Here is a 15,975-nt window from a genome sequence, read left to right on the forward strand (position 1 = left end):
GCATCAAGAATTTTCTATTATTGAATACTCAAGAATGAGAAATTGAGGATAGTTTTGTGCTATAATTTCACTGGACTTTGAACTCACAAGAATAAGAGTTCATAATGGCTTTGAACTTTCATAGAACTTGAATTTCACTTAAATTTAGGGAATCTCTAGGCATTGGCATTTCATTGTCATTTTCATTTTTCATAGTCTTATTGCAGAACTGTGATGAGTGATGTAGCCTGGGAATAACTTGGAATTGAAAGTACAATAGGGCGTGAATTCTTGGCTTTGATATAGAGTGACGTTGGATTTAGCATAATTAATGTGCAGTCATGTGTCACAATAACAGGGATACATTCTGAGAAATGCATCATTAGGTGATTTTGTCATTGTGCAAACATTACAAAGCACACTTACACAAGCCTAGATGGTACAGCCTACTACAGCCTGATAGCTATATGGTATAGCCTATTGCTCCTAGGCTTCAATCTGGTACCTCCTGTTACTCTACTGAATACTGTAGGTAACTGTAACACAAGGATAAGCATATTTGTGTCTAAACATAGAAAAGACACAATAAAAATACAATATAAAATGTTTATAAATGGTACATCGTATAGAGCACTTACCATGATTGCAGGACTAAAAGTTGTTCTGGTGCGTTGGTGAGTCAGGAGTAGAGAAGTTTTTATATTCTATTTTTCTAGTGCATTAAAGAAAAGAGAGGTTTAAAAATCAGTTAAGTCACCACTTAAAAAACTCAGTAGATATCTCTTTTCCTTCACCCACATATTTGATCCCCAACCAAGTTGTGCCAGCTTGGCTTGAAATATATAAATTATATCTTAAATTGATACAGTTATTTCCAGTATTTCTGCCACTGCCCTAATAAAATTCATTATCATCTTTCCCTTGGAAATTGTATAGTCTCCAAACTGAACGTGTTAGTTTTTCTTGCTATACATGGAGTATTTGTGTGTGCAAAGCAATCTCAAAATCATGTTGAAGAGTTGGGGTCAGGAAGTCTTCCCAGAAAGTGATATTTTATATCAGTTTTGAAGGATCAACAGGATTTGGCCAGGCAGAAAATATACGAAAAATATTTCATGAAGAAAAATGTGAGCAAAGACTCACAGATAACAAGATATAAGGCAAGAGTGGCCAGGTAGAATCTCAAGGACTGTGTGGGTGGCGACCCATCTGGGATTATTAGAGAGGCATTGTAGGCAATGAAGAAATTTGATTTAAATTGGAAATACAATATTTTGAAGTCTGAATTATTCTAGTTATTATATTTTTCCCACACTGTTGGAAAATGATAAATAGAAAATTCCAATTTAAGTAAGATTGTGGTTATTTAGAAATGTAAGTTTCTTCACTTAGATTTGCCTCATATTCTTTTGTTCTCAAATGCACAAACATTTCTCCTTCCTTTAATGAATCACTGGCCCTGCAAAAGACAGAGGAACTGTATATACTTGAACAGCAACCAACCTTTAATTCTCTACATATCAGCTTTTGGGAAGGGATAAAGGGATATTTTATCCACGTTGGCTTTAAAGGACTGTTCTTCATAGTAAGTCACTACAGTAAGAACAGTAATTTGGTACCATGGTAATGAAGAGGGAAAAGGTGGGGGGTGGGGGTGGAAAGCTTGACATTTCTTAACAGAAAAATGTCTTCCTAAATAACTAAAATGTCAAAAGTGCCATAGTCTCTGACTATTGCTGGAATTCTTGGTGCATTTAACATGTAAGTGCAAAGAGAGAACTAAGAAGTCCTCCTAGATCTGTGGTTTTCAAATGTCATAGATTTTGCTCCCCCACCCCCATCCACCCAGGGAACATTTGACGATGTCTGGAGATATTCTCAGTTACCCAGGGGATGCTACTGTCATCTAGTAGTTAAAAGACAGAGATGCTGAAAAACATACTGCAAGATAAAAGCAGCCTCTCATCACAAAGGATTATCCAGCACACGACAGTGTTACATTTCAGAATCTCTGTTCCAGATCACACCTTCCGTTTGCAGTTGGTGAATAAGATGCACAGAGACAGCGTGGAGACCAAAGTATCAACAGCAGGAGAGATGTGAGACTCCCTCTCTGCCTCATCTGCTCAACATTTTATGCCCCTAACAAGTCATGCAATCAAACTACTGGATCCAAACAGCAGAAAAGACATGGCTCTTACAAGAATCCTACTGGTGTAGGAAATCAAGGATATCAATCAACATGATCATTAACTTCCTTTTATGGAGATGGTAAATCTCACTGCTTTTTCTTCATGGAAGAAAAAAAATACGAAGAAAGTGCTCTGATTTCAGGAGCAAGATATAGTCAAGGTTTTTCTTAAATTAAGTTTCTCGCAAAAAACCAAACAACTCTGAGAATATGGGGTTTTCTTCTGAGATATAAATAAAATTCATACGAGCCTTGGAGAATTTGAATCACCCACTCTTTGGCACCTAAAATTTCACTTGGCCGAACAGCATCTGTAGTGTGTTTCTTAAAAACGCTAATCAGATCTTATCATTCCCTTACTTAAAACTTGCCAGTAGCAAGTTATTGGAATCCCAATAAACCCCTGATTCTTTTATCAGTGCCCGCAGTACCCTACTGAATCCAGGTCTTCTCACCATTTTGACCTTATCTCCTTTGCCACAGAAGTTTGAACGTATTCTTCCTGCTCAAGAAAATGCTGTTTCCCCAGAGAATTTCATGTTTGGCTCCTTCTCATCATTCATTCAGGCGTTGGAAAAATGTCACCTCTTCAGACAAAAGAATTACCATATTTAAGGAAAGCCACTCTTATGATGTATTATTGTACTTGTTTGTTAATTCTCTTCATAATGCTAAGAAAATCTATAGTTATTTCATTTATGCCTTGTTGACTTACTTTTTTCTCTTACTGGAATGTAATTTCCAAGAGGGTAAAACTGCTTCTTGTCAAGTGCTATATTTCATAGCATTTATAACAGCCTGTGAAACTCAGTGGAACTCAACAGGTTTGGGAAGTGTGTGAATAAATTAATTCAATAACTGAGAAAAGGGGAAGAGACTTTATTGTGAGATGTCAGGGAGAAAAATTTTTTTAAAGAATAAATAAGGGTCAGAATAAGTTGTATTTCCAGGAACAAGAATAATCACATGAAGGGTTAAGGATGATCTCATCAAGACAGATGTCCATAAGGAGTCAGTCCTGACACTGCAGTCTGACCCAAGCACTACTTAAATTTGAACAAAAAACAGTGAAAATAATCTTACTGTTACATCAAGATCTCCTGCAGTTCTGTAACTTTGGTTCTGTTATTATCTGTAACTGACTTGGGTTCCTCCCTTGTGAACTGAAGTAACATAAATACTTACCACAGGAATCATTGTTAGGATTAAATTGGATGTCAAACATAGGAGTCTTATTCCAAAGCCAGGCACATAGAGTTCAATAATTGTAGTCATAATTATTAGTTAGTGATATGATTTATTAATGGTTTATTGCTGTCTTTCATTTAATTATTATCAATAACAAAGAAAAAAATTGAAGAACCCAGAAGGATTTGTTGTGGCTGTTTCAAAAATAGCAGAATAGAGAAAAGTTAGAGTCTGGCACACTGCTCCAAGCAGAGCCCAAGTGGAATATAACACAGATGGAAGCGTTGATGATGATAGCAGGGAGGAAGCAGACAGGAGAAACCCTGAGGCTGTAGGAGGGAAGAGAGAGGAAGGAACATCATGCACCCCTGGAGGTTTCTTGCCCACTGAGGAGTAAAGAGCCTGGCCTAGAGTTGTGAAGGCTGTGGATGAAAAAGGAGAGAAGACACTGAATTTGAGAAACTTTGCAGGGAAAACAATAACCAAAATTTGGAGCTAGCTTTATTTTTGAGACTGAAAAAATAAGTGACTAAAAGATGAAGTTAAACACACTGCAAAGGTTTGAAATATAAAAGTATTTTGTTTTTTCTAGTTCTTTCTTGAACTTTTCAATTTATTGATACACTTTTATCTTCAGATCACAAGTGTTTTCTCTATCTCTTCATTGTAGCTTTCCTTCTCTCCTCCCCATACCTTTTCCCTTCACTCTGTCCCTTTCTATTTGTAGATTTTTCGGGTTTTGTTTTGTTTTGTTGGTCTATTCTTTGTCTTTTTGACATTTTGAAGATGTTCTCAGATGGTGATATAGTTTGGTTCTGTGTCCCCACCCAAATCTCATCTTTAATTGTAGCTTCCATAATTCCCACATGTTCTGGGAAGGACCCAGTGGGAGATAATTGAATCATGGGGGAGATTGGTTTTGGTTCTGTTACAGTCTGTAACTGACTTGGGTTCCTCCCTTGTGAACTGTAGAGTGGGGTGCTGTTGTAAAGATATCCAAAAATGTGGAAGTGACTTTGGAACTGGGTAACAGGCAGAGGTTGGAATATTTTGAAGGGCTCAGAAGAAGGCAGGAAAATATGGGAGAGTTTGGAACTTCCTAGAGACTTGTTGAATGGCTTTGGTCAAAATGCTGATAATGATATGGACAATGGAATTCAGGCTTCACTGCTTTCACATGGAGATGAGGAACTTGTTGGGAACTGGAGTAAAGGTGACTCTTGCTATGTTTTAGCAAAGAGACTGGCAGCATTTTGTCCCTGCCCTAGAAATTTGTGGAACTTAAAACTTGAGGAAGATGATTTAGGATATCTGGTGAAAGAAATTTCTAAGCAGCAAAGCATTCCAGAGGTGACTTTGGTGCTGTTAAAACCATTGAGTTTTAAAAGGGAAACAGAGCATAAAAGTTTGGAAAATTTGCAGCTAAACAAACAAACAAAAAACATTTCTGAGGAGAAATTCAAGCCAGCTGCAGAAATTTGCATAAGTAACGAGAAGCCAAATGTTAGTTGCCAAGACAATAGGGAAAATGTCTCCAGGGCATGTCAGAGACATTTGAGGCAGGCCCTCTCATCACAGGCCCAGAGGCGTAGGAGGGAAAAATGGTTTCATGGGCAGGGCTCAGGGTCCCCCTGCTGTGTGCAGCTTAGGGACTTGGTGTCTTGTGTCCAAGCCACTCTAACTATGACTAAAAAGTGCCAAAGTACAGCTTGGGTTGTGCTCCAGAGGGTGCAAGCCCCAAGCCTTGGCACTTTCCAAGTGGTATTGAAACTGTGGGTGAACAAAAGTCAAGAATTAACGTTTGGGAACCTATGCCTAGATTTCAGAGGATGTATGGAAACATCTGGGTGCCCAGGAAGAAGTTTGCTAAAGGAAGAGTGACCTCCTGGAGAACCTCTGTTAGGGCAGTGCAAAAGGGAAATGTGGGGTTGAAGCCTCCACACAGAGTCCCCACTGCGGCACTGCCTAGTGGAGCTGTGAGAAGAGGGCCACCATCCTTCAGACCCCAGAGTGGTAGATCCACCAACAGCTTGCACCATGTACCTGGAAAAGCCACAGACACTCAACGCCAGCCCAGGAAAGCAGCTGGGAGGGAGGGTGTACCCTGAAAAGTCACAGAGGTGGAGCTGCCCAAGACCATGGGAACCCACCTCTTACATCAGTGCACCCTGGAGATGAAACATGGAGTCAAAGGAGATCATTTTGGAGCTTTAAGATTTGGCTGCCCTGTTGGATTTTGGACTTGCATGGGGTCTGTAGCCCCTTTGTTTTGGTAAATTTCTTCCATTTGGAATGGCTGTATTTACCCAATGCCTGTACCAATATTGTATCTAGGAAGTAATAACTTGCTTTTGATTTTACAGGCTCATAGGCAGAAGGGACTTGCCTTGTCTCAGATAAGACTTTGGACTGTGCACTTTTGAGTTAATCCTTAAATGAGTTAAGACTTCAAGGCACTGTTGGGAAGGCATGATTGGTTTTGAAATATGAGGACATGAGATTTGGGATGTGCCGGGGATGGAATAATATGGTTTGGCCCTGTGTTCCCACCCAAATCTCATCTTAAATTATAGTTCCCATAATTCCCACATGTTGTGGGAGTATCTCCAGTGGGAGATAATTGAATCATGAGAGTGGTTTCCCCCATACTGTTCTCATGAAAGTGAATGGGTCTCATGAGATCTGATGGTTTTATATTTTCCACTTTTACTTCTCTCTCATTCTCTCTTGTCTGCCACCACGTAAGGTGTGCTTTTCACCTTCCACCATCACTGTGAGGCCTCCCCAGCTGTATGGAACTGTGAGTCAATTAAACCTCTTTTTCTTTATAAATTACTCAGTCTCTGGTATGTCTTTATCAGCAGTGTGAAAATGAACTAACACAGATGGTCTCCATGGGGAGTTACTAAAGTCAGAGCCACATTCCCACTCTAATGCCTTTCTAACAGCACTTCTTTTAATTTTTCTTTTTTAAAAAATATTTTTCTTCAACTTTTAAGTTCAGTGGTACATGTTCAGAATGTGCAGGTTTGTTACATGGGTAAACTTGTGCCATGGTGATTTGCTACACAGATCAACCCATCACTTGGTATTATGCCCAACACCATTAGCTATCCTTCCTAATGCTCTCCCTACACCTACCCCTTTCCCTGACAGGCTCAGTGTGTGTTGTTCCCCTCCCTGTGTCCATGTGTTCTCATTGTTCAGATCCCACTTATAAGTGAGAACATGCAGTGTTTGGTTTTCTGTTCCTGTGTTAGTTTGCTAAGGATAATGGCTTCCAGCTTCCTCCATGTCCATGCAAAGGACATGATTTCATTGCTTTTTATGGCTGCATAATAGTCCATGGTGTATATGTACAACATTTTCTTTATCCAGTCTGTCACTGATGGGCATTTGGGTTGATTCCATGTCTTTGCTATTGTGAATGAATAGTGCTGCAATGAATGTACCATGTGCATGTATCTATTTTTTTTTTTTTTTTGAAACAGAATCTCACTCTGTTGGCCAGGCATGATCTCAGCTCATTGCAACCTCCGTCTCCCAGGCTCAAGCAATTCTCCTGCCTCAGTCCCCCGAGTAGCTGGGATTACAGGCATGTGCCACCATGCCTGGCTAATTTTTGTATTTTTAGTAAAGATGGGGTTTCACCCATCACCATCCAGGCTGGTCCTGAACTCCTGATCTCAGGTAATCCACCTGCCTCAGTTTCCCAAAGTGCTGGGATTACAGGCACGAGCCACGATGCCTGGCCCATGTATCTTTATAATAGAATAATTTATATTCCTTTTGGCATATACCCAGTAATGGGATTGCTTAGTCAAATGGTATTTCTGCCTCCAGATCTTTGAGGAATAGCCACACTCTCTTTCACAATGGTTGAACTAATTTACACTCCCACCAACAGTGTAAAAACATTCCTTTTTATCTGAAATCTCACCAGCATCTGTTGTTTTTTGACTTTTTAATAATCACCATTCTGACTGGCATGAGATGGTATCTCATTGTTGTTTTAATTTGTGTTTCTTTAATGATCAGTGATGTTGAACTTCTTTTCATATGTTTGTTGTCAACATGTATGTCTTCTTTTGAGCAGTATCTGTTCATGTCCTTTGCCCACTTTTTAATGTTTTTTTTTCTTGTAAATTTGTTTAAAAGTTCCTTGTGGACTGGATATTAGACTTTTGTCAGATAAACAGATTGCAAAAAATTTCTCCCACTCTGTAGGTTGTCAGTTTACTCTGAGGATAGTTTCTTTTGCTGTGCAGAAGCTTTTTAGTTTAATTAGATTCCATTTGTCAATTTTTGCTTTTGTTGCAGTTGCTTTTGGCATTTTCATCATGAAATCTTTGCCCATGTCCTGAGTGGTTTTGCCTAGAATTCCTTCTAGGATTTTTGTAGTTCTGTGTGTTACATTTAAGTATTTAATCTATCTTGAGTTACTTTTTGTATAAGGTGTAAGGAAGGGGTCAAGTTTCAATTTTCTGCACATGGCTAGCCACTTCTCCTAGCACCATTTATTAAATAGGGACTCCTTTCTCCATTGCTTGCTTTTGTCAGGTTTGTTAAAGATCAGATGGTTGTAGGTGTGTGGTCTTATTTCTGAGTTCTTTATTCTGTTTCATTGTTCTAGGTGTCTGTTTTTGTACCCGTACCATGCTGTTTTGGTTACTGTAGCCCTGTAGTATAGTTTGAAGTCAGGAAGTATGATGCCTCCAGCTTTGTTCTTTTTGGTTAGGATTTTCTTGGCTACTCAGGCTCTTTTTTGCTTTCATATGTATTTTTAAATAGTTTCTTCTAATTCTATGAAGAATGTCAATGGTAGTTTAATGGGAATAGCATTGAATCAATAAAGTACTTTGGGCAGTATGGCCATTTTCACAATAATGCTTCTTCTTATCCATGAGTATGGAATGTTTTTCCACTTGTTTGTGTGCTCTCTGATTTCCTTGACCAGTGGTTTGTAGTTCTTTTTGAAGAGGTCCTTCAATTCCCTTGTTAGCTGTATTCTTAGATATTTCTTTATTTTTGTAGCAATTGTGAATGGGAATTCAGTCATGATTTGGCTCTCTGCTTGCCTGTTATTGATGTATAGGAATGCTAGTGATTTTTGCACATTGATTTTGTTTCCTGAGATTTTGCTGAGGTTGCTTATTAGCTTAAGAAGTAAGATACTTCTAACATGAGATTCATGGATTCATAGGATTAAAATAATTAATCCTCTTTGCTTCAAAATAGTCATGAGACCACAAGTATCTCCCACCAGGTTGTAAATAACTTGAAAGTAAGAACTTGTGGTGTTTGCTTTCCATCCCCAGTGCTAAGTATCCTGTCTGGCATATTGCCAGTGTCTAATAAATGAATATGTTAATATTACGTAAATAAGTAGTATTTGTTTATTTTCAAAATAATATCTACTAAAGAATCCAATACATTGGTAGAAATAAGGGACAGAACAATGATGTTGTGGTCTACCTATGTGATATATCCCCTTCCTATGGCCTTCTAGCTCTCCAGTGAAGATTCTGAGTTGATGAAATGCCTAGGCAGATCTTTTTTAGAGGCAAGTGAGAGAGCTAACAAGTGGAGATCCCAGTGACATTTGCATTACTGATTTGTGTATGGCAAATAAACAGTGAAACAGCACCCAAACTCCTGAGGAAAATTAATAAATTAATATTTTAAAACTTTTTTATTCATTGATCTCTAGGGTTAGAATATACTTTCAAACACTAGTTTTGAAAATGAATATTGTTAATTTTTTGAAAAATAAGTTGACAAATTATGTATTTAATATGTAAAATTCTTTGACCAGAAAATTCTACTTTTAGAAATCTAACTTAAGCAATTGGGAGGGGAAACCCAATAGTAATAACAAAAGGGGTGGAAGAAAACTTTGGGAAGTGATAGATATGTTTATGGCCTTGATGGTGGTGATACTTTCATGGGTGTATACTTATCACCAGATTTACAGATATGTATACATTAAATATGTACAGCTTTTATATGTCATTCATACTTTAATAAAGTGGCTAGAAATAAGCAATTAAATATAAATCAATTTTTATTTAAAATGTTAAAAATTGAGGATACCTAAATATTTTACTTTAGAATTATAATTAAATATATGTTCTGCATCATATAACATGTAGTAATTATAAAAAATGTTTATAAAAGGCATTTAATGACAGAAAAATGTATATTACTTAAAAGTAATAAAAAAGAATATACATATAATTATATATTCATTTGAGCCATTTACATATATATAAATGTGTACATGTGTACACATTTCTCTACTTTCTAAATCATATATAATAAGAAGCAAGAAGGAGAAACGGAGGACAAAATACTTTAAATAGACTCATTTCTGGTCTCTATCAATTTAACTAATTATAAAAATGACGGGTGGCCCTAGTATCATGGTTGCAACTCACAACCACATCATGGTTTTTAATATCTTCCCAAGAAGAAATAAGGTTGACCTACGATTGGATCAGGAAGTGTATGAGATGAGCTTAGAGTGTCTTGTAGTGCCACAAAGTAAGAAAGTGCTAAAAATGAAAACACAAACAAAAGACACATTAATGGATATATGTTAAAGTGACACAAAAGTCAATTGAAAGATCCCAATAGCTAAAGCTGGAATAATTTGAGCCATAAAAGAAAATAGTATCGAATTATATGCCAAAGCATAAAATAAATATTAATGAGCCCATACTCACATAAATAAATGATTGAATAAATAAAAGAACTGGGGAGAGGAGTCAGATGTCTCTTATAGAAAAATTTCCATTCTGTAGGTTGTCTGTTTATAACATGGGAGAAAATGTTTGCCAACTATGCATCCAACAAAGGTCTAATATCCAGAATCTATGAGGACCTTAATTCAAGAAGCAATAATCAAATAACCCCATTAAAAAGGGGCAAAGGATATGAATAGACACTTTTCAGAAGAAGACATACGAGTGGCCAAAAAATAAATGAAAAACTCCCCATCATCATTATATCATCAGAGAAATGTAAGTTAAAACCACAATGAGATACTGTCTTACACTGGTCTAAATAGTTATTACTAAAAAGTCAAAAAACAACAGATGCTGATGAGGCTGTGGAGAAAGGGGAATATTTATAAACTCTTGGTGGGAACGTAAATTACTTCAGTCACTGTGGAAAGCAGTTTGGAGATTTCTCAAAAAACTTAAAACAGAGATACGATTTGACCAAGCAATCCCATTAGTGAGTATATGTTTAAAAGAAAATAGATCACTATGCCTAAAATACACATGCACTCATCTGTTCATCACCATGCTATTCAAAATAGCAAAGATAGGGAATCAACCTAGGAGCCCATCAATGGTGGATTGGATAAAGAGAATGTGGTACATATAGGCCATGGAATATTATGCAGCCATTAAAAAGAATAAAATCATGTCCTTTGCAGCAACTCGATTGGAGCCGAAGACCATAATCAAGAGCATATTAACTGCAGTATAACAGAAAACCAAATGCTGTATGTTCTCATTTATAAGTGGAAGCTAAACATTGAGCATACATGAACATAAACAGGAGAACAATGGACACTGCAGCCTGCTGGGGACAGAAGAGGAGAAGGCTAGAAAAACTACCTATTGGGTACTATGCACTACCTGTGGGCAATATACCTGTGTACCAAACCTGCATATGTACCCCCTGTATCTAAAATAAAAGTTGACAATTTAAAAAAAAGAAATATTCTAAATAATTATGTATCTCAGCCTTCAGGAGGGGCAGCATAAATCTGTAGTCCTTAGATGTAGGTCTTGCATTGTAACTTCCTTTCAAAGAGAACAATACGGTAAGAGGGAAAAAAAGGGCAACTTTCTAGTGAACAAACTTGACAAATGCTCCCTCATTTAAATGATTATGGTCAGTATTAATGGAGAAAAATCATGGTGATAGCATGTGCCCTTGATGTATTGTGATACAAATCATACCTTTTTGGCCTTCCTCCCAGAAAACCATAATCCCATTCTAATGAGGAGAAACGCATCAGACAAATTTTAATAGAGGAACATCCTACAAAATAGCTGAGCAGTACTCCCCAAAACTATCAAGGTCATCAAAACAAAGCAAGTTTGAGACACTGTCATAACCATGAAGTTCCTAAGGAGACAAGATAAGTGAATGTGATTTGATATCTTGGATGGAATCCTGGAACAGAAAAAGACATTAGCTTAAAAACTAAGGAAACGTGAATAAACTATGGACTTTAGATAGTAATAATATATCAATATTGGCTTATTACTTTAAAAATGTACCATCCAAATGTAAGATGGCAATGGACAAAACTGAATATAGAGGGTCTATGGGAACTCTGAATTACCTTCCTCAATATTTCTGTAAGTCTAAAACTACTCTAAAAATGTCTATTAAAGGCCGGGCTCGGTGGCTCACGCCTGTAATCCCAGCACTTTGGAAGGCCGAGGCGGGCAGATCACGAGGTCAGGAGATCGAGACCATCCTGGCTAACACGGCAAAACCCGTCTCTAGTAAAAATACAAAAAATTAGCCGGGCGTGGTGGCAGGCACCTGTAGTCCCAGCTACTCGGAAGGCTGAGGCAGGAGAATGGCGTGAACCCAGGAGGCAGAGCTTGCAGTGAGCCGAGATCGCGCCACTGCACTCCAGCCTGTGCTACAGAGCTAGACTCCGTCTCAAAAAAAAAAAAAAAAGTCTATTAAAAATGAGTGAAAGCTTTATGTTAAAGGTCTTTTTCCAATTAAACTGTCAAGTGTGATGCATCTTGAAAGAATAACCTTCCATATATCCTTTCTTAGAAAAAAGAATGCTCTGCTGACTAAAGCTTGGCAAAAAAGAAAGAGGCAAAATGGAATTCAAGAAAAAGGATACAACGAAGTGATGGCATAAGAAAAATCCTAAGATAAATTCTGAGTACCCAACATAGACAGCATCCACCCCAGACCTGCTTCCTCACTGCCTACTCCTTCCAAGTCTCATTTGGTAGTTCCTCCTCATCAATTTGATGTCTACACTTGATCTGGCCACCTGCTAACTCACTGACCTCATGTTCTACCAAGTTCATCTTTGCTCGCTCCTCTCTAACCAGAGAATCCCTTCCTCAAGGCCATTACACTTGTTCTTCCTCCTACTTGAAAATACATTTTTCTCATAAAAATAACCACTCCTAACCCCAGCCCTTTCAGTTTTAATTTTTCCATATCTTTTATTACCATCAGACATCACATATATTTACTTTTTTTTTTTTACTGTCTCCCCCTACTAAAATGTAAGCTCCATAAAAATAGAAAGTTGCCTATATTTTTCACTGCTGCAAACTCAGTGCTTAGAAAAAAATGACTGGCTCAGAGGAGTGACTCAGTATTTCTTTAGTGAAGGAATAAATAAAATTTTTATGATACAATTAACAAGTTAGAATAATATATATTTGAGTATATAAAACTTTATAACTAATAGAAGATGTATTTCAGTTTCATGTAATCATAGGATTTTTCTTCAAAGTGAACATGTACTAGGATACAGCAGAAAAAGTCTCAAAAATTGTAAAACAAGTATAAAACAAGTCATATTACATAACCACTTACAATAAAATGAATTACAAAAATCTAACTAAAAATAACATTCTTTAAATCATGGGATAAACAGAAAATGTAAAGAAAATTTAATTATATTTAGAATTAAATACCTTTGAAACACTATATATCAAATTGATTGAGATGAAGCTAAAAATCACACTGGAGAAAAATATGTATCCTTAAATATTGATTTTGGCAAAGAAGAAATATTGATAAATAAGAAATAAGCATCCAACAAGAAAAATAAAAAATAAGAAAATAAAAGCCAGACAGAGCTGTCAGTAAAATACAATAGAAAAAGGCAAAAAGAAGAGATCAACAAACCCCAATATTTGACACTTTGAGAAGACTAATAAATGAAACAAATTTTGGTGAGATTATCCAGGAAATAAAGAAAGGAAGCACCCACAAAAGCACACACAACACATCAACACACACATCCCCATGCTATTAGAAATAAAAAAGAGAAAATATTCCCTGATATACTAAAGACTTCAAAATATCATAAGAAAATACTATGCATGATTTTCTTGCAATAAAGTTAAAAATTTAAATAAAATGAAAACGTTCTGGGAAAAATGTGATTTACTAAAACTCACTCAAAAAGTAGAACTGGATAGTCTTATAATCATTAAAGAGAATGAAGATAGAATAAAATCTACACATACACACAAATAAAATCCTAGTTGGTGAGTGAGTGGGTAGGGGGATTTAAGTCTAGGTAGTTTTATAAGCAAGTTTTACCAACTTCTAATATAAAAATAATTGTTATTTTATGCAATTTCCAGGAAGGGGGAAGAAAGAAAAATAAGCAGTGTAATATATATGCCAATATTTGACAAAGACAGTACAAGAAATGAACAGATCGATACAATTTCTTAACATACATGCAAAATTTTCAAAGAAAATCTGAGCAATATGTAATTCTTATACATACAAGCCTTCCATATATGAAGCCTACCCTATTCTGTCTTGTCTGTGACTAAGTCAATATGTCTGCCCAACTCTGAGGTTCACCATATATGGGCATCCTAGTTTGCTCTTATAAACTATGCTCTTTAACTCATCTTTAATAATAAAGGTAATGTTTTGGTTGCCACCTTTACTCTTTCAGCTATCAACATATCATGAAATGGGGCAGGGAAAGAAGAGTGTAATTTGCTGAGGTGCTGTTTTGGGTTTTTTAGATGTCAAGAACTCATCTGAAAATTTTATGCCTGCTAACTCATTTAATTTTCACAAAGTCCCTATGATGTGTGCATTATTTGTAGCTGTGTATGCCAGAGGTTAAACAACTTGCTTAAGATCATAATGCTTAGTAAGGATAAAGACAGGATTTCAATTCTGATAAAACGAACTAACAAACTGGCCTTACAAATCAGTGGCAAAAGGAAGGTATATCAAGTAAATAGGGCTCTAATTATGCAGAAAATATTCCTTATTTCATATAATACTCCCAAATTGGTTCCAAATGGATTGTAAGTACAATATAAGGCTGGGTGTGGTGGCTCATGCCTGTAATCCCAGCACTTTGGGAGGCCGAGGCAGGCGGGTCACTTGAGGTCAGGAGGTTGAGACCAGCCTTGCCAACACGGTGAAACTTTGTCTTTACTAAAAATACAAAAATTAGTCAGACATGATGGCATGTGTCTACAGTTCCGGCTACTCAGGAGGCTGAGGCAGGAGAATCGCTTGAACCTGGGAGGCAGAGGTTGCAGTGAGCTGAGATCGTGCCACTGCACTCCAGCCTAGATGACAGAGCGAGACTTCATCAAAAAAAAAAAAAAAAAAAAAAGTACAATATAAGAAATAAAACTCTATTTTTTAAAGAAAATAAGCATGAAACTATATTTTTATGGTAGAATAAAGAAGGTTTACATACACTTGAAAAGAACTCATAAAAGGTTAATATATTTTACTACATTTAATGAAATCCTCTGCAGGACAAACTATATTAGAAACAAACAAAGACGACAAGTCAAAGACAGGAAGAAGATACTTATATCACATATAACAAATAAAGAATTGTAATTAGAAAATGCAATGGGCAGTTCTAAATAAAAATAAAAACAAAGCAAATCCAATAAAATTAATCCAAGGATGCAAACAGGCAATTCACAGTTGAGGAAATCATCATGGACATAAGCATAAATACACTAAATGTTCAATATCATTAGTAAATAGTTGAATGCCAGTGAAAACAACAGTAAGAATCTCTCTCACATCCAACTGACTATCAAAATTATCAACTATGGGAACATTAGGTATAATGAAAATGTAGCAGGGGCTCATATTATTAGCAGAATATAAAATTTTAGAGTCTTTTGTTTAGCAATTTGCTTAAGGGGGCACATTCCATAACCCAGAGTTTCTCTGCAATTGACTGGCTACCTTGGAGGCAGCGCCACACACATGTTCCAGGATCCATGTAGAAGAATGTTTTCTGCAGCACTATTTATAATACCAAAAACAACCCAGCATAAAAACTTTAAATGCTCCTTAGAAAAAGAAGAGAATAATTAAATGTTGTTGATTAGTACAATGCAATACTTAGCAATTAAAATGAACAGATTATATCTACATGTGTCAACACAAGTAATCTCAAAACAAAGTTGAATGAGCCACTAAGGTTTTAAAAATATACAGACGAATCTATTTATGTAAAATATGAATACACACAAATGAAGGCAGATTTAGGATGTTGCTAGTGAACCTTTAGTTCTGGGAAGTTTCAATTACATATGCCACTTTCCAGGGAGGAAGTTTTCATTCTGAGTATTAACTCCAGGTGGTATATAAAATCTTTAGTTTTAAAATGCTGAAGGGTAGGCCATATAGAGAGAAATTATTGATGATACACAAACTTGATTAGTGCAATATTTACATTTATGTCTCTTAACAGGATAAGTAGGAAGTAAGATAAGCATGTGCTACCTTCCTGCGGGAGGACAGTCTCTTTCTGCCTGGGCAGCTGCTCCTGACTCCAGCAATGCTATGACCTCAAACCAGCAATGCAAGAGTTT

The 15,975-nt window shown here is 36.6% G+C and overlaps 1 long non-coding RNA gene across 1 annotated transcript in view; it reads right to left on the minus strand.

Moving 5' to 3' along the window:
- The window catches only part of LINC02505 (long intergenic non-protein coding RNA 2505), a 145,364-nt gene that overhangs the window by 85,503 nt on the left and 43,886 nt on the right, over positions 1 to 15,975 (minus strand). Inside the window, exon 3 of the long non-coding RNA NR_149124.1 lies at positions 618 to 691. This is a non-coding gene — a long non-coding RNA (long intergenic non-protein coding RNA 2505). The remainder of the gene's footprint in view (positions 1 to 617; positions 692 to 15,975) is intronic.

The sequence above is a fragment of the Homo sapiens genome, chromosome 4, assembly GCF_000001405.40.
Source record: "Homo sapiens chromosome 4, GRCh38.p14 Primary Assembly".
Taxonomy (NCBI): domain Eukaryota; kingdom Metazoa; phylum Chordata; class Mammalia; order Primates; family Hominidae; genus Homo; species Homo sapiens.